General features: G+C 51.9%; 1 protein-coding gene across 5 annotated transcripts in view; it reads right to left on the bottom strand.

The window, feature by feature from the left end:
• The window catches only part of DMBT1 (deleted in malignant brain tumors 1), an 82,983-nt gene that overhangs the window by 51,085 nt on the left and 12,756 nt on the right, over positions 1 to 19,142 (bottom strand). For 3 of the 5 annotated variants that reach the window (NM_001377530.1, NM_007329.3, NM_001320644.2), the window contains exons 6-20: positions 18,890 to 18,937; positions 15,930 to 16,253; positions 14,812 to 14,841; positions 13,893 to 13,934; positions 12,751 to 13,074; positions 11,757 to 11,786; positions 10,827 to 10,859; positions 9,729 to 10,052; positions 8,301 to 8,330; positions 7,343 to 7,381; positions 6,269 to 6,592; positions 3,385 to 3,708; positions 1,958 to 1,987; positions 1,135 to 1,173; positions 57 to 380 (exon numbers count right to left, since the gene is read on the bottom strand). In NM_001377530.1, coding sequence (NP_001364459.1) covers positions 57 to 380; positions 1,135 to 1,173; positions 1,958 to 1,987; positions 3,385 to 3,708; positions 6,269 to 6,592; positions 7,343 to 7,381; positions 8,301 to 8,330; positions 9,729 to 10,052; positions 10,827 to 10,859; positions 11,757 to 11,786; positions 12,751 to 13,074; positions 13,893 to 13,934; positions 14,812 to 14,841; positions 15,930 to 16,253; positions 18,890 to 18,937 — 2,265 coding nt within the window. The remainder of the gene's footprint in view (positions 1 to 56; positions 381 to 1,134; positions 1,174 to 1,957; positions 1,988 to 3,384; positions 3,709 to 6,268; positions 6,593 to 7,342; positions 7,382 to 8,300; positions 8,331 to 9,728; positions 10,053 to 10,826; positions 10,860 to 11,756; positions 11,787 to 12,750; positions 13,075 to 13,892; positions 13,935 to 14,811; positions 14,842 to 15,929; positions 16,254 to 18,889; positions 18,938 to 19,142) is intronic. The other 2 variants (NM_017579.3, NM_004406.3) reach the window with 2 other exon arrangements.

Raw genomic sequence — 19,142 nt, 5'->3', positions numbered from 1 at the left:
TTCTTCCTGAGCAAACTCCAGTCTAGGAGAGGGAGCCCAAGGTCTTGGAGGCCCACCTGAGCAGATGACACCAGCATCTTCATGATGGCCACAGTTGTGGGAGAGCCAGCCATTGTGGGGGCAGCTCCACAGGTAGGACTCGTGTCCTGAGCAGCGCACATCATCCAGAACAATGGGTCCTGAGCCCTGGCCAAACCGGGCATTTCCTGGGGCCGACGTGGCCCAGCCACAGCCCAGCTGCCTGCAGACCACATTGGCATCATTGGTATCCCAGCTGTCATCACACACGGTGCCCCAGGAGCCTCGGTATAGGACCTCTACTCGGCCCTGACACCTGTCACTTCCATTCACCAGCCTCAGGGTCAAACTGGATTCAGATCCTACAGGGGAACACAAGAACCCTTTATCCATCCCTACCATGAGGTAAGGATCTAAGGCACGTTCCACACTCAGGGTACTTCCTAATGGCCAAGGTCGCCTGGACAAGCAGTCACGATTGAATACGACTGCAACCAGAGGTTCAGCTTCATCATACTGGAAGGAGAGGTGATACCCTATTCTGCCTGGGTTTATGGAGGCTCAGATTTTGGGAAAGCGCCTGTGACCCCAGTGGAGGTGACAGGAATGGACACCCCACTCCCTACTCTGAGCACACACAGGATGGAGCTCCACTGCTCCAGAGGGCAGGCCTATGCTATCCCCATGTCGAAGAGTTTGGTGGCACCCACGTGGTCCTCTCTGGCTTCTGGCAAATTGCCAGGGATGGCAACACATTGGCCAGACAACTGCAGGGACAGAAATTTTCACCCTCCCTTGCAGGTCTGCAATGCATGGCCAGAAGGCCAGGAATGAGGTCCCAGGAGTAGGGAGCTCTCCAGGGTTTGTCCAGCACCTGAATGAGGATCTTTACTGATACTTGGAACACGGTCCAACAGGAGATAGGTCACCAACACCCTCCACCCTCTAACACCCGACCCGGGACTGGTTCCCCAGAGACTCAACTTCCTCCCACTCAGCGCACAGGGATGTGAAAAAGACAGGGGCCCACCTTGACCCTCATCCTATCATTTTCAGAGAAAACATTTGTCCAGAGGTAGAGAGTGAGCCCTAGGGAGGGGTGAGAGGATTATTTACCTACTGTCGATGGAGGTAACGTGATGGTCGACAACGTGTCTGTAAATTGCAACAAAGACAAAGGCTAGAATTAAAGTTGAGGGAGAAAAGCTCCAAAAGGAAAGGTCTCTGGACAAGGCAAGCATCATGAATATTCTTCCATTTCTAGTTCCTGCCACTTGCTCCCCATGTGTCTGCCCAAGTCTGTAGCTCAGGAAGCACAGCCAGGGACATAGTCCTCACTGGAGACCAGTCCGATCCCTCCTGCCTCTGAAGTGTGGAATACCCTCTTCTCAGCTACAAAGGGTTTACCTGCCCCATCCACTGACACATGGACTGATGGGCACATCTGACACCAATGCTGAGCCTCTCACGCTTGAAACTAAAATGTTAGAAGGATCAGGGAGCTGCCTAAGGGAGTATAAAGTCTCCTGGCAAGTGGAGGCAACGGAAATATCTAATATCGCTCTCCCTGCCTGAGCACAGCCTCTGCCTGTCTGGAGGTAGATGGGGCCCTGCCGCATCTGGGGGTGTCTGAAGGAGTGAGGAATGGAGGTATCAGGCCTGCACTGACATTCTTGCCCATGGACAGGCATGTTTAAGGCTTTAGCTGAAATTGCCTTCCCAGGAGACTTTGGCAATCACTCTCAATTCTTAGAAAGATCATACCTTCTTAACCATGTCTGGTTAAGAAGCTCCATGCTAGGGTCTCAGTTACAGAGCAGGGAAAATAGTATGACCCACAGTATCCACACAGGTAAGAAGGAGGGCTCTGTGGAATGGGAAAAAGGATAATTGTGCAGAAAGAAAAGGGACATCCCAAGGAAGGACACTGGGGACTCACCTGGCCTGGGCGTCGACCGGGACTGGGCAGCTGTGAGAAAGAGGAGGTCAGATCAGATGCACTATACAGAAGCTGGCAAAACCAGAACAAAGGTACAAGGAACTAAACTGGTAGCGCCTTCAGTCCACCCTATGTCCCCATCACAGAGGGAGGGGCATTGCCATGCACGTCCCCACAAAGATGCTCCTTGAAAGGCATCTGGGCAGATCTTGTCCACTACTGCCAGCTCCAAAGTGATTAAGTTTGTGTCTACCCACAGTAATCAGGTTGACACAAAACCAACCCTCTCCCTTACACGTCTTAGCAGTCCCTGAGTCAGCAAGTATGAAGAGGCCACTCCAGCAAAAATCCAGCCTGTGATCTTCTAGCCCAGCCCACAGGCATTCATAACAAGGCTTTGCTCAGCAGCCCTAATGGGCACTGCCCGCCCTACACCTGACTGGTGTACAGGCAAGATGCTGCAGTGCTCTGGAGGGAATTGCAGTCAAGCACTCACACCCCCAAAACCCAGGCCAGACTTGGACAGACACAGATCTGCACTCCCAGCCTTGTGTTTCCAGTCTGATGCCTCCTTACTGGGCCTCAGCGGAAGACCCTCCCTTCCCAGCATAAGCCTTTGGTTCTGGACTCCTCCCGGTGAGATCGTCCGTCCCCCAACACCTATATGTGCTCCATCCACCTCACCCTCACCTAAACCTTTCAGTGGGGGAAAGATGGAACCCTGGAGAGCCAGTGTGCTATAGATTGGATGTTTGTCCCATACAAGACTCATGTTGGGATTGGATCCCCAAGTATAGAGGTGAGGCCTGATGTGCCATGTCTGGGTCATGGAAGCCAACCATTCATGAACAACTTAGTGCCCTCCCTGATCAGGGGTGAGTTCTTCTCTTAGTTTCTAGCAAGAACTGGTGGTTGAAAAGAGCCTGGGCCTTCCTTCTTGCCCTCTCTTGCTTCCTCCCTTGCCACGTGACCTCTGCTCAGGCCACCTCCCCATCTCCTTCTGCCAGGAGCACAAGCAGCCTGAGGCTGTCAGCAGAAGCCAAGCAGATACCACGCTCCTATGCAGCCTGCAAAGCCAAGACCCAAATCTGCCTCTTTCTTCATGAATAACCTGACCCCAGCCATTCCTTTCCAGCCACACTAAAATGCAAAGACCCAGCCCTTTCCTCTTCTCCCTCTGCTTGCGCTGCCTTGGTAGGGGAACAAAGGCATGACCCTTATTTCACTTTGGCCCATTGTCCTCTCTGACCTCCTCAAAACCTGGCACTGTGGTGAAGACTCATGCAGTTTCCTAGAAGAGAGCTAAGGAGATATCAGAAACATAGGAAAGGTTGAAAAAGCTCTGAGTGAGGAGATTAGAACATAAGACCTCTCTTCCTGGGCAAAATCTACCCCAAGAGAGGAAACCAAAATTGCTGGAGGCCCACCTGAGCAGATGACACCAGCATCTTCATGATGGCCACAGTTGTGGGAGAGCCAGCCATTGTTGGGGCAGCTCCACAGGTAGGACTCATGTCCTGAGCAGCGCACATCATCCAGGACAATGGGTCCTGAGCCCTGACCAAACCGGGCATTTCCTGGGGCTGACGTGGCCCAGCCACAGCCCAGCTGCCTGCAGACCACATTGGCATCATTGGTGTCCCAGCTGTCATCACACACGGTGCCCCAAGAGCCTCGGTATAGGACCTCCACTCGGCCCTGACACCTGTCACCTCCATTCACCAGCCTCAGGGCCAAACTGGATTCAGGTCCTATAGGAGAACACAAGAACCCTTCATCAATCCCTATCAGCAGGTCAAGGATCTAAGGCACATTCCACACTCAGGGCACTTCCTAATGGCCAAAGTCACCTGGGCAGGCAGTCACGATTAAAGATGACTGCAACCAGAGGTTCAGCTTCATCACAGTAGAAGGAGAGGTGATACACTATTCTCCTTGGGTTTATGAAGGCTCAAGTTTTGGGGAAGCACCTGTGACCCCAGTGGAGGTGACAGGAATAGACAACCGACTCCCTACTCTGGGCACACACAGGATGGAGCTCCACAGCTCCAGAGGGCAGGACCATGCTGTCCCCATGTTCAAGAGTTAGGTGGCACCCCCATGGTCCTCCCTGGCTTCTGGCAAATTGCCAAGGATGGCAAGGCTTTGGCCAGACAGCTGCAGGGACAGAAACTGTCACCCACCCTTGCAGGTCTGCAGTGCATGGCTGGAGGGCCAGGAACGAGGTCGAATAGGAGTAGGGAGCCCTCCAGGGCTTGTCCTCAGCACCTGGATGAGGATCTTTTTTTTTTTTCTTTATTATTTCCTGATACTTGGAAGAGGATCCCAAGGGAGACAGGTCACCAGCCCCCTCTACCCTCCAACACCAGAAGCAGGACTGGCTCCCCAGAGACTCCAACTTCCTCCCACTCAATGCACAGGGATATGAAAAAGACAGGGACCCACCCTGACCCTCATCCTCTCATTTTCAGAAAAAAACATTTGTCCAGAAGTAGAGAGTGAGCCCTAGTGGGGGTGAGAAGATTCTGTACCTACTGTTGATGCAGGTAATGTGGTGGTCGGCAACGTGTCTTTAATTGCAACAAAGACAAAGGCTAGAATTAAACTTGAGGGTGAAAAGCTCCAAAAGGAAAAGTCTCCAGATAGGGCAAGCATCATGAAAACTACTGGATTTCTGGTTTTTGCCACTTGCTCCCCATGTGTCTGCCCAACTCTTCAGCCCAGTAAGCTCAGGAAGGGACATAGGCCTCGCTGGAGACCAGTCCAATCCCTCCTACCTCTGAAGTGTGGGATATCCTCTTCTCAGCTACAAAGGGTTTGCCTGCCCCATCCACTGACACATGGACTAATGGACACATCTGACACCATTGCTGAGCCTCTGATTGTTACAGCTAAAATGTTAGAAGGATCAGGGAGCTGCCCAAAGGAGTATAAAGTCTCCTGGCAAGTGGAGGTACCAGAAATATCTAATATCTCTCTCCTTGCCTGAGCACGGCCTCTGCCTTTCCGCATGTAGATGGGGCCCTGCTGCATCTGGGGGTGTTTGAAGGACTTTGTGTCTGCCCATAGTAATCAGGTTGACACAAAACCAACCCACTCCCTTGCACATCTTAGCAGTCCCTGAGTCAGCAAGTATGAAGAGGCCACTCCTGCAAAAAAAAAATATCCAGCCTGTGATCTTCTAGCCCAGCCCACAGGCATTCATAACAAGGCTTTGCTCAGTAAGCCTCATGGGCACTGCCTGCCCCACACCTGACCGGTGCACAGGCAAGACACTGCAGTGCTCTGGAGGGAATTGCAATCAAGCACTCACACCCCCAAAACCCAGGTCAGATATGGACAGTCACGAATCTCCACTCCCAGCCTTGTGTTTCCGGTCTGATGCCTCCTTATTAGTCCTCAGCAGAAAACCCTCCCTTCCCAGCATGAGCCCTTGGTTCTGGAATCCTCCCAGTCAGACCGTCCCTCCCTCAATGCCTATATGTGCTGCATCCACCTCACCCTCACCTAAACCTTTCAGTAGGGGAAAGGTGGAACCCTGGAGAGGCAGCATGCTATAGTTTGGATGTTTGTCCCATCTAAGACTCATGTTGGGATTGGATCCCCAAGTATAGAGGTGAGGCTTGATGTGCCATGTCTGGGTCATGAAGGCCAACTCTTCATGAATAACTTAGTGTCCTCCCTGGTCAGGGGTAAGTTCTTCTCTTAGTTCCTAGAAAGAGCTGGTGGTTGAAAACTGTCTGGGCCCTCCCTCTTGCTCTTTCTTGCTTCCTCCCTCACCATGTGACCTCTGTCCAGGCCACCTCCCCATCTTCTTCTGCCATCTTGCTTCATCCCTCGCCATGTGACCTCTGCCCAGGCCAGCTCCCCATCCCCTCTGCCAGGAGTACAAGCAGCCTGAGGTCCTCAGCAGAAGCCGAGCAGATGCCTGCACCATGCTCCTATGCAGCCTGCAAAGACCCAAGACCCAAATCAACCTCTATCTTCATGAACAACCTGGCCCCAGCTATTCCTTTCCAGCCACACTAAAAGGCAAAGACCCGGCGCTTTCGTCTTCTCCCTCTGCTTGCGCTGCCTCAGTAGGGGAACAAAGGTGTGACCCTTATTTCACTTTGGCCCATTGTCCTCTCTGACCTCCTCAAAACCTGGCAATGTGGTGAAGACTCATGCGGTTTCCTAGGAGAGAGCTAAGGAGGTATCAGAAATATAGGAAAAGTTGAAAAAGCTCTAAGTGAGGAGATTAGAACATAATAAAACCTTCCTGAGCAAAATCTACCCCAAGAGAGGAAACCAAAAGTCTTGGAGGCCCACCTGAGCAGATGACACCAGCGTCTTCACTATGGCCACAGTTATGGGAGAGCCAGCCATTGTGGGGGCAGCTCCACAAGTAGGACTCATTCCCTGAGCAGCGCACGTCATCCAGGACAATGGGTCCTGAGCCCTGACCAAACCGGGCATTTCCTGGGGCCAACATGGCCCAGCCACAGCCCAGCTGCCTGCAGACCACATTGGCATCATTGGTGTCCCAGCTGTCATCACACACGGTGCCCCAGGAGCCTCGGTATAGGACCTCCACTCGGCCCTGACACCTGTCACCTCCATTCACCAGCCTCAGGGCCAAACTGGATTCAGATCCTACAGGGGAAAACAAGAACCCTTCATCCATCCCTATCATGAGGTCAAGAATCTAAGGAATGTTCCACACTCAAGGCACGTCCTAATGGCTAAAGTCACCTGGGCAGGCAGTCACCTTTGAATATGAATAAAACCAGAGATTCAGCTTCATCAAAGTCAAAGAAGCAGTTCTGCCTGGGTTTATGAAGGCTCAAGTTTGGGGAAGCACCTGTGACCCTACTGGAGTTAACAGGAACGGAAACCCCATTCCCTAACCTGGGCACACACAGGATGGAGCTACACAGCTACAGTAGGCAGGCCAGACTCTCCCCATCTCAGGAGCTTGGTGGCAATCCTATGGTCCTGTCTGGCTTCTGAAAATTTCACAGGTATGACAAGGCCTTGGCCAGACAGGTGTGGGGACACTCACTTTCACTGACTCTTCACACCTCTGCAGCCCATGGGCTGAGGGACAGGAATGAGGTCTTAGTAGGATTAGGGAAGCTTCCAGGGCTTTTCCTTGGCACCTGGATGAGGATGTTTCCTGACCACTTGGAACAGGATTCCACGGGAGAAAAGTCACCAGCACCCTCCAGCCTCCAACATCAGACCCACAGCTGGGTCCCCAGAGACTCTACCTTCCTCCCATGCAACCCACAGGGACATGAAAAACAGAGGGGCCCACCTTGACCCTCATCCTATCATTTCAGAAAAAAACATTTGTCCAGAGGTAGAGAGTGAGCCCTAGGGAGGGGCGAGAGGATTATTTACCTACTGTCGATGCAGGTAAGGTGATGGTCGGCAACGTGTCTGTAATTGCAACAGAGACAAAGGCTAGAATTAAAGTTGATGGTGAAAATCTCCAAAAGGAAAAGTCTCCGGAGAAGGCGAGCATCATGAAAACTACCCCACTTCTGATTCCTGCCACTTTGCTCCCCATGTGTCTGCCCAAGTCTGCAGCTCAGCAAGCTCAGCAAGGGACATAAGCCTTGCTGGAGACCAGTTCGATCCCTCCTGCCTCTGAAGTGTGGGATGTCCTCTTCTCAGTCACAAAGGGTTAGCCTGTTCCATGCACTGACACATGCACTGACGGGTACATCTAACACCATTGCTGACACTCTACTAGCTCGAGCTAAAACGTTAGGGAAACCAAGGAGCTGACCAAAGGGGTATCAAGTTTCCCAGTAAGTGGAGGCACCAGAAATATTTATTATCCCTCTCCCTGCCCGAGCATGGCCTATGCCTCTTCTGGATGCACATGTAGCGCTGCAGAATCTGGGTGTTGGAAGGAGTGAGGAAGGGAGGTGTCAGGCCTGCACTGACATTGCTTGCCCATGGCGGCAGCCATGTTTAAGGCTTTAGCTGACATTGGCTTCCGAGGAGACTTTGGCAATCACTCTCAATTCTCAGGAAGGTCATATCAGCTCTGAATAGAAAAGGGTCAAAGCTATTTAAATATGAGGCCACTTCCTAAACCTCTAAGGGTTGGCCACTGGGACAGTATGAAACTGCTTCATGAAAGCTGAGATAAATGGAACAGAAGACAGAAGCCTCTTGAACCCTATGTCTGGTTCAGAAGCGCCATTCCAGGGTCTCAGTTACAGAGCAGGGGAAAATTGTATGCCATGTAGTATTCACTCAGAGAAGAACGAGGGCTCTGTGGAGTGCAGAAAGGGATAATTATACAGAAAGAGAAGGGACATCCCAAGGAAGGACACTGGGGACTCACCTGGACTGGGCGTCGACCAGGAGTGGGCAGCTGTGAGAAAGAGGAGGTCAGATCAGATGCACTATACAGAAGCTGGCAAAATCGGAACAAAGGTGGAAGGAACTAAACAGATCATGCCTTCAGTCCACCCTAGGTCCCCATCACAGAGGGAGGGCATTGCCATGCATGTCCCCACAGAGATGCTCCTTGGAGGGTGTCTGGGCAGATCCTGTCCACTATTGCCAACTCCAAGGTGATTAACCTTGTGTCTGCCCATAGTAATCAGGTTGACACAAAACCTACCCTCTCCCTTGCATGTCTTAGCAGTCCCTGAGTTAGCAAATGTGAGGAGGCCACTCCAGCCAAAGTCCTGCCTCTGATGTTCCAGTCCAGCCCACAGGCGTTCATAACAATGCTTTGCCTAGCAGACCTCATGGGGACTGCACACTCCACACCAGACCGGTGCACAGGCAAGACACTGCAGTGCTCTGGAGGGAGTTGTGGTCAAGGACTCACAGCCCCCAAATCTCAGGCCAGAGAGGGACAGACACACATCCGCACTCCTAGCCTTGTGTCTCTATTAAGACATCACCTTATTGGGCCTCAGCAGAAGACCGCGCTTCCTAGCAGGAGCCTGTGGTTCTGGGCTCCTCCCAGGGAGACAGTCCCTCCCCCATCCTCTATATGTGCTTCATCCATGTAACCCTTTGCAAAATCTTTCAGTAGGGGAAAGATGGAACCCTGGAGAGCCAGGGTGCTATACTTTAGAGGCTTGTCACATCCAAGTGTTATATTGCAACTGAATCCCCAAGTTTAGAGGTGAGGCCTGATGCACCAGGTCTGGGTCATGGAGACCAACACTGCATGAATAACTTAGTGCCCTCCCTGGTCAGGGGTGAGTTCTTCTCTTAGTTCCTAGCAAGAGCTGGTGGTTGAAGAGTCTGAGCCCTCCCTCTTGCTCTCTCTTCCTTCCTCCCTCACCTTGTGACCTCTGCCCAGGCCACCTCCCCATCCCTTTCTGCTAGGAGTACAAGCAGCCCGAGGCCCTCATCAGAAGCTGAGCAGACGCCTGCACCATGGTCCTATGCAGCCTGCAAAGCCAAGACCCAAATCAGCCTCTTTCCTCATGAACAAACCAGCCCCAGCTATTCCTTTCCAGCCACACTAAAAGGCAAAGACCTGGCACTTTCCTCTTCTCCCTCTGCTTGCGCTGCCTCGGTAGGTGAACAAAGGCGTGACCCTTATTTCACTTTGGCCCGTTGTCCTACCTGACCTCCTCAAAACCTGGCAATGAAGACTCATGCAGTTTCCTAGGAGAGAGCTAAGGAGATATCAGATATATAGGAAAGGCTGAAAAAGCTCTGAGTGAGGAGATCAGAACATAATGAGACCTCGCTTCCTGAGCAAAATCTACCCCAAGAGAGGGAGCCCAAGGTCTTGGAGGCCCACCTGAGCAGATGACACCAGCGTCTTCACTGTGCTGACAGTTATGGGAGAGCCAGCCATTGTGGGGGCAGCTCCACAGGTAGGACTCATAGCCTGAGCAGCGCACGTCATCCAGGACAATGGGTCCTGAACCCTGGCCAAACCGGGCATTTCCTGGGGCTGACGTGGCCCAGCCACAGCCCAGCTGCCGGCAGACCACATTGGCGTCACTGGTGTCCCAGCTATCATCACACACGGTGCCCCAGGAGCCTCGGTATAGGACCTCCACTCGGCCCTGACACCTGTCACCTCCATTCACCAGCCTCAGGGCCAAACTGGATTCAGGTCCTACAGGGGAACACAAGAATCCTTCATCCATCTCCATTCTGAGGTGAAGGAAAAGGCATGGACAACACTCAGGGCAATGGGAAAAGTAGTCAAGTTTGAATACAAATGCCAAAGTCACCAGGGCACGCAGTCACAATGGCAGATGGCTGCACCCAGAGGTTAAGCTTGGTCATAGTGGAAAAAGTGATGCCCTATTCTACTCAAGTCTATAAAAGCTCAAGCTATGGGTAAGCATGTATGACCCCAGAGGAGAGGACAGGAATGGACACCCCACTCCCCACTCTGGGTGAACACAGGATGGAGCTACACAGCTACAAATGACAGGCCTAGACCCCCTCCATATTCAGGAGCTTATTGGCACCTGCATGGGCCTCTCTGCCTTCTGGCAAATTGCCAGTGATGGCAAGGCCTTGGCCACACAGGTGCAGGGACCGGCACTTTCACCCGCTCTTCAGAGGTCTGGATCCCATGGCCTGAGGGCCAGGAATGAGGTCCCAGCAGCATTAAGGAGCCCTCCAGTGCTCGTCCTGAGCACCTGGATGAGGATCTTTCCTGACCACTTGGAACAGGATTCCATGGGAGACAGGTCACCAACACCCTCCGTCCTCAAACATCAGACCCAGGACTGGCTCCTCAGAGATTCCACCTTCCTCCCACGCAACCCACAGGGACATGAAAACAGAGAAGCCCACATTGAGCCTCATCCTATCAGTTTCAAACACAAAATATGTCCAGAGATAGTGAGTCCTAGGGAGGGGTGAGAGGGTTATTTACCTGCTGTTGATGCATGTGAGGTCGGCCAAGTATCTGTAAATTGCAACAAAAGGAAAAGACAGAATTAGACTTGAAGGGAAAAGGCACAGAACAAAAGGATCTCTGGGAGGAGGAATCAACGTGACAACAATTCCACTTCTTGTTCCTGCCATTTGTTTCCCATGTGTCTTCCCAGGTCTCCTGTGCTGTGAACTCATCCAGGGACAAAGGTCCTGCTGGAGACCAGACTGAGCCCTCCATTTCTGTAATCCTGGGGTATCTTTCTATCTGTTAGAGGATGCCCCCACCATGCCATCCCACATCTGCTGATGCATGGACTGACTAGGACATCAGACGCCATTGCTGAAGCTCGGACACTGCCAGGTAAAATGTTAGGGGAACCAGGGGCTGCCCAGGGGACAATCAGGAATCAGGTTTCTGGTTAAGCAGAGACATCACAAACCTTTATTATCCCTCTCCCTGCCCGAGCACAAACTCTGCCTCTTCTGGATAGAAATCTCGGAATCATAATCTCGGAATGTTTCCAGCAGTGATGGATGGGGGTATCGAGCCTGCCCTGACGATGCCTTGAACGGGTCAGAGGGTGACACCCTCAATTTTCAGAAACTATATGTGAGTCCGGAATATAAAAGGACCAAAGCTCATTAAACATGGGGCCACTTCCTGAACCTGTAAGGGTTGTCCACTGGGACAGTATGAAACTGTTTCATGAAAGCTGAGAGGGGTTGAAAAGAAGACAGAGGCCTCCTCAATCCTGTGTGTGTTTAAAAAGCGCTGTGCTGGGATCTCAGTTACACAGCCGGTGTTGGGGGTGGAAATAATATGCCCCACAGTATCCACACAGAGAAACAGGAGAGCTCTGTGGAGTGTGGAAGGGGTGATTGGGCAGAAAGAGAAGGGACATTTTGAGGAAGGACACTGGGGACCTACCTGGGCTGGGTGTCGGCCGGGACTGGGGAGCTGTGAGAAAGAGAAGAGAAGGTCAGATCAGGAACATTACACAGAAGTCGGCAAAACTGGAACGAGGAGGGAAAGAAATGAGCGAGTCTGACACTCAGTCCATCCTAGTTCCTATCACACAGGGAGGGACATTGCCATGCACATCCCCACAGAGATGCACCGTGTAAGGGGTCGAGGCAGATCCTGTCCACTATTGCCAGCTCTGAGGTGATCAAATTGTGTCTGCCCAGGGTAACCCGGTTGACCTAAACCAACCCACTCCCTTGCACATCTTAGGTGTTCCTGAGTCAGCAAGGCTGAGGAAGCCACTCCAGCCAAAATCCCTTGTGCGATCTTCAAGCCCCAATCACAGGCAATGACAAGGCCATGTCTGGCTGGCCTCATGGGGACTGCCCTCCCCTCACCAGACCTAGAACACAGGCAATGCTCAGCAGCGTTCTGAGAAGAGCTGAGGTCAAGAACTCCAACCCCACGCAACCCAGGCCTGATACAAACAGACACCCATTTGCACTCCTAACCCTTGAGCCTCTATTTCCAGACCTCCTCACTGGGTCTCAGCTGAGAACCCACTTTTAGCCAAGCATCTTTAGTTCAGAGTTCCTCGCAGTGAGGGGATCCCTCCCCTGCCTTGCTGTCTGTGCTGCATCCATTATACCCTCACACCGTGCTACTCAGCAGGGGAGAAATGGAGCCCTGGGGAGCCGGCACTTTTCTCTTCTGCCTCTTCCTTGCCTTGCCTCAGGAAGGGGAAAAACTCTGGGTTGTTTTAGTTTGATCCCCTGTCCTAAGTGACCACAGGAACACTAGGCAGTGAGTACATATGGATTCTTAGCAGAGAGCTGACAAGTCTTCAGAAACATAGAAAACATAGAAGCTTTGAGTGAGGAGATCAGAATGTAATTAGGAGTTTCTTTTGGAGCAAACTCCACCCCAAGAGAGTGAGCCCAAGTTCTTGAAGGCCCACCTGAGCAGATGACACCAGCGTCTTCACTATGGCCACAGTTGTGGGTGAGCCAGCCATTGTGGGGGCAGCTCCACAGGTAGGACTCATGTCCTGAGCAGCGCACATCATCCAGGACAATGGGTCCTGAGCCCTGGCCAAACTGGGCATTTCCTGGGGCTGACATGGCCCAGCCACAGCCCAGCTGCCTGCAGACCACATTGGCATCATTGGTGTCCCAGTAGTCATCACACACGGTGCCCCAGGAGCCTCGGTATAGGACCTCCACTCGGCCTCGACACCTGTCGCCTCCATTCACCAGCCTCAGGGCCAAACTGGATTCAGATCCTACAGGGGAACACAAGAACCCTTCATCCATCCCTATCATGAGGTCAAGAATCTAAGGTAAGTTCCACACTCAGGGTACTTCCTAATGAACTAAGTCACCTAGGCAGGCAGTCACCTTTGCATATGACCACAGACTAGGCTTCATCACCGTGAAAGTAGCACTGATAACCTACTCTGCCCAGGTCTATGGATGCTCAACTTTTGGGGAAGCACCTGTGACCCCAGTGGATGTGATGGGAATGGATGCCCCACTCCCCAGTTGGGTACACAGAGGATGGAGCTGCTCAGCTCCAGATGGCAGGCCCAGACCCCTCCCTTATTCAGGAGCATGGTCCTATCTGGGATCTGACTGGCAGAGTACCAGAGATGGCAGGGATGAGGTCCCCATAGGATTAGGGAGACCCCCAGGGCTTGTTCTGAGCCCATAGATAAGGATCTTTTCTGACCACTTGGAACAGGATCCCACAGGAGACAGGTCACCAGCACCCTCCACCCTCCAATATCACATCTAATTCTGGGTTTTCAGAGACTCCAGCTTCCTCCCTACCCAACCCACAGAAACATGAAAAAGCAAGGGGCCCACCTTGAGCCTCATCCTATCATGAGCCTAATGATTCCTAATGATCTTCTGGGAGGTCCTGCTCTTGTTCCCAGTGCCGAGCTGACTCTTGAGCCAACTGTTTATCACCTGCTGCCACCCTCCCACGCTTAGCCCACTTCCCCACCTCTCTTTATGGCAATCATAAGTGAACTATGAAATCCAAAGTGTATCCAGAGGTAGAAAGTGAGCCCCAGGGAGTGTTGAGAGGATTCTTTACCTTCTGTGGGTACAGGTGGTGATATCCTGACAGGCCAACTTTCTGTAAACAGCAACAAAGAGAAAGGATACAATTGGACTTGAAGGGAAAAAGGTAAAAAACAAGCGGTTCTCTGGACCAGGCAAGCACTGTGAAAACAATTCCACTCGAAGGTCTGGCCACTTGCTCCCCATGTGTCTGCCCAGGTCTCCTGCCCAGGGAACTCATTCAGGGACAAAGGACACCATGCAGGCCCTTCCACCTCTCTCTGAGAGAGGGATGACCTATTCGCAGTTAGGAAACCTTCACCACCCCCATCCCCCACCATCCACTGACGCGTGGACTGACTGGCTCATCTGACACCACTGCCAAGACTTGACACTTGCAGCTAAAATGTTCGGGATACTAGGGGTCCGCCCTGGGGGAAATCAGGTTTCCTGGTAAGTGAAGGCACCAGAAACATTTCTTAGCCTCTCTCTCCCCTCAGCATGGCCTCTGCCTCTTCTGAATGCAGACGTGGCCCTGCAGAATCTGGGGGTTTTTCAAGTAGTGAGAGATGGGGGTATCAAGCCTGTACTGACCTTGCCTTCAACAGAACATTAGAGGGTCTCACCCTCAATTCTCAGAAAGGTTGTGTCAGCCCTGAATATAAAGAGGCCAAAGCTCATTAAACAGCAGGCTTCTTTCTGAACTTCTAAGAGTTGTTCATTGGGACAGCATGGAACTGTGTGATGAAAGCTGAGATGGACTGAAGAGAAGGCAGAAGCTAAATCCCATGTGTGGTTAAGAAGCCCCATGCTAGGGTCTCAGTTACAGAGTTGGGGGTGAAATAATATGCCCCAGAGTATCTGCAGAGAAGCAGGAGGGCTCTGTGGAGTAGGGAAGGGGTAACTGAGCAGAAAGAGAAGGGGTATCCCGAGGAAGGATTCTGGGGACTCACCTGGCCTGAGTGTTGACTGAGGCTGGGCAGCTGTGAGAAAAAAATAGCAACATTAGACACCAAACACTCAGTGACTCCAAGTAGAGTTAAGGCTGAAGTGACTTGGGGTATCTACACCCTGAGCTGATGCCCATCACACGCCCACCAAGTGGGCCCTGCCAGTGCCCACCGTGAAGCCCTCGGTCCCTCAGGGACCCCACAGCCCCTGGCATTGCCTTCTCTGTGCCTGTGGCTCACTCTCCAGGGATATGAAGGTCACTTCGGTGCCTGGGACCGGCCACAACAACCTCGGTATCAACACCCAGGGAGCAGCAAACAGCCACCCTAAGCAATGAGTAGATGAAGACCCTAACTCTCCACGCTTGAGCTGCGATGAGTCTGAGGTTTGACGTGGATTCCTGGTGATACTCTAGGAGGTCCCCCTGCTCCCTATGCTGAGCTCACTCGTGAGCCCACCATTTGCGACTCACTGCCATCCTCCCACCCTTACCCCACTTCCATGCCTCTCTTCACAGCAATCATAAGTGAACTATTTACAATTGCATCCTTCCCTCTGGGTCAGCGGCTGACAACACTCAAGGTAATACAGTGTTCAAGGGGAGGGAAGGCTTCACCAACCAGATCCCCAAAACGTGCTGTCCCTGAGAAGGAGCCTCGGGGAAAATGGGGGTATGAGTTATGCGGATGTTCCTGGAGCAGAATAAAAAGCTCATCATTTCTGATGTCAGCATGCTGGACCCTGTGTCTGAACACTGGTGCCTCAGTCACCTCCAAACCAATGTTGCGGCACTGCTCGCAGCTTGGGGATTTGTGCTGACCGTGGCATTGTACCCACAGGCCAACTGCCCCAACTAAACTCCAGAGCCACCAGATAACCAGGAAAGACTTGGGCGGGGGCCCTGGAGTGAGAAACCTGTTACTATATTCTCTGAATACAGTCTGTCCCCAGAATGGGCCCAAGTGATTTTCTTTTTTTAATAGAGATGGGGTTTGCCATCTTGCCTAGAGCTGGTCTTGAACGCCTGAGCTCAAGCAATCTGCCTACCTCATCCTCCCAAAGTGTGGGGATTAAAGGCATGAGCCACCACACCCAACCCTCCAGAGATCTGGATGCCTACCTGAGCAGATAACACCAGCATCTTCACCATGGCCACAGTTATGGGAGAGCCAGCCATTGTGGGGGCAGCTCCACAGGTAGGATTCGTGTCCTGAGCAGCGCACATCATCCAGGGCAATGGGTCCTGAGCCCTGGCCAAACCAGGCATTTCCTGGAGCTGACATGGCCCAGCCACAACCCAGCTGCCTACAGACCACGTTGGCATCATTGGTGTCCCAGCTGTCATCACACACGGTGCCCCAGGAGCCTCGGTATAGGATCTCCACTCGGCCCTGACACCTGCCATCTCCATTCACCAGCCTCAGGGCCAAACCAGAATCAGATCCTAGAGGAAGGCACAGAATTTCTCTTGCACATTCCTACTGAGGCACAAGGTCTCAGGGCCTGCAGGGCATTCAGGGTCTTCCCCATAGGCAGATATCTTTGAGAGAATCTCTAATTGGGCTGGGCTTTAACAGGCCTTAAGGTTAGAGTTCTTCATGGGGAAGAGGACAGTGACTGCTTGGCCCAAACCCAAGCCTTAGAGCTTCAGCTGGAGCAGAATAAAAGGCTCCTCCTGATCTGCATCCTGGAGGGGACCTAGAGATACACATGACCCTTCTCTAAGCAGACCATGGGCTCTGCCTGATTCCCTCAGACAGGGGACACACAACACCCCACACTGAAGAGCAGCACGATAACATCAAGATGTCCCGGGAGGAGCTCTGATGTGTATCTGCAGCTCTAAGGTTGGTTTGGAGCACATTTGTCACGTGATATTCCTGGCCTTATAGCCTTCCTCAGGGCCAGGATTGTTAGGGTCAGCACAGAGCTGTGGAGATGGGGGAGCTGGGCTGTCACTCTGGACTGGAGACTGATCCCACTGGTCTCTGCTTCCAAAGCACACAGGCTCTTGGAGACACCATATTCTGACTGATTTCTCCCTACCTCCAGGAACATGGGCAATGAAGGAAGCTTCACTCTAGCTGACCTCTGGGATCCAGAAGGTCACTGTGTACTCACAACATTCCCTCCCATCCCATTCCCTAAAATTTTTCCTGAGTAACAGTAAAGCCCATGGATATAGTTGGCAACATGACCTACAGAAAGGGATTCAAAGTTACTCATTACCTGTCACAACAGTAGACTCAGTATTTGTAGTGGTAGTCTCTGCTTTTGCCAATTGTAGAAGATGAAAAACAAACCCCACCACACCCCCCCAAAAAAAACCAGAAAATATAAAGTTAGGTCTCCTCTGAAGACACTCATGGGCTGAAAGTAAACTAGGATCTGCTGAGGAGCCATCACTCCTGATCTGGATATTGTCTTGCTGTGTAAATTTGGGAAAGTCAAGAAACCTGTCTAGCATTGAGTTCTTTGATTCTAAAGGGCTGCTTGGGGAGGAAATATTTCTGTACCAACATACTCACTCTGATTCCGATGTGCCTACATGTAACCTATACAGAACTCCAGAAGAGGGATGCAAAAATAACTTTTCCCATGCTTAGGCCTCTAATTGATTTCTCTTCTCTCATTGCATTGGCTACTACCTCCAGTACAACATTGAACAGCAGTGGAGATGGAGGGCATACTTGCCTTGTTTTTCACATTAGCAGAAATGCTTCTAATATTCCCCTTTAAGTAAGGTACTGGCTTGGAATCTCCGTTTTTGAATTGCTCCAGAGCCCTGGAATTTGTCCAGGGCACCTACAGGAGCTGACTGAGTGCTGGGGCTTGGAGAGGAAGTGATCTGAGAGTTACCCTTAACCCACTGCAGCCACAGCACTCAGCTTCTGTCTGAGCTCTCCACTGGGCTGCTACGTGAGGTCTCCAGATCTAGAAGAAATGTGACTCCCAGCTGACACTAGAGTTCCTGATAAGAGCAACTCCAGGTAAGTCCTATCTGCAGTCCTGTGTGACAGGCAGATCAGCCAAATACCTCTGCCCCCTCACTCCCATCCCTGGCTGGACCAGTTATACCAAAGGGCTTGTCCCACCAAGGTGTGGTCCTTAACATGTAACAGGGACCTCAGGGGAAACCACTCAAGAGGAAGGAACAGATTCTCCTCTTATAGCTGCTGCAAATAAGAAAATGTGGGAATCTTGCGAAGGGACATGGCTAAGTCAGAATAAAGCCAGTCTCACCCTCACTTCAAGTGTCTTCTGTGTCCTTCATCATAGGAAAGAGGAAGAGGTTAAGTCAGACCTCACCCCATGGGCCAGAGGGAGAAGGGAGAAGAAAGAAGACGACCTGAGGAACAGGAGGGCCCGATGCATGTACCATCAGCATTCCCAACTGCATGCCAACCCTGGGCAGCGCAGAGGCCTTGGTGAGAATGTTGTCCTTGAGCTTCTCCTAGGGCCAAGATTTCCCATGGGAAATGGGAAGTGACTTCCCTTCCCAAAGCCCAGGCTGCCAGAATCCCAGGATGTATTGACTATGTCTCCCAGATTTCTCACTGGAGATACCCAAGGGGGAAGTACATGAGCTCTGATGCCCATGAGCTGAAGGATTGTGATTTCTCTCTGTTAAGAAGAAACAAGGGTGGCATAATATAGGCTTAAAGAAAGGGCAAGGGCAAGGATGCTGTCCTAGCAATTTGGCTACGTTAGCAGGTAGGCACCTGACCCTCAAGGCCCTGTAGCCAGAGATCCAGAACCCTAGGCTGGCCACGGATGAGCACAGCTGGGTGAGGAACACAGGAGTGAGCAACAAGCAAAGATAACAGAATCTCTAGAGACAGAATAAAAGGCTCCACTGAGAACTCCTTGGAGACGCGTCTTCAAGTTGATTCCTCCTCAGTCTCAGACATGATCGATGCAAGATATACCTGTTCAGACCTGAGGCCTTTTGTGGAAGGGCCCCTCGTGGGAGCTAAGCACCCTACTTTCTATGCCCTCTGCACCTCATCTGAATCAGAGATTAACCTAGGGGTGCAGGGGGGTAATGAGCCTACAGGGATCCCCCATAGTAGACGTTACCTTCTGCTACAGTTGACTCCAGGGTTGACTCTGAGGGAATCAGAGAACCTGCAGGGTGGAGAAAGGAAGAGCTCATTGATCGTAGCCCTCGCTTGGGGAGGGTTGGTCCAGGGCTTGCTCAGCTCTGAAGCAAGGGCTGGAAGCACAGGTCCTAAGGGCACCATCCATTGCTAAAAGCCAACCATGTGCCAATCGCTTTGTCATTGTACTGGCCCCAGACTGGGCTAGGATGCCACATGAGCATCCTTTACTC

The sequence above is a fragment of the Homo sapiens genome, chromosome 10 (assembly GCF_000001405.40).
Source record: "Homo sapiens chromosome 10, GRCh38.p14 Primary Assembly".
NCBI classification, from domain to species: domain Eukaryota; kingdom Metazoa; phylum Chordata; class Mammalia; order Primates; family Hominidae; genus Homo; species Homo sapiens.
This window is presented reverse-complemented; position numbering and strand designations above follow the sequence as displayed.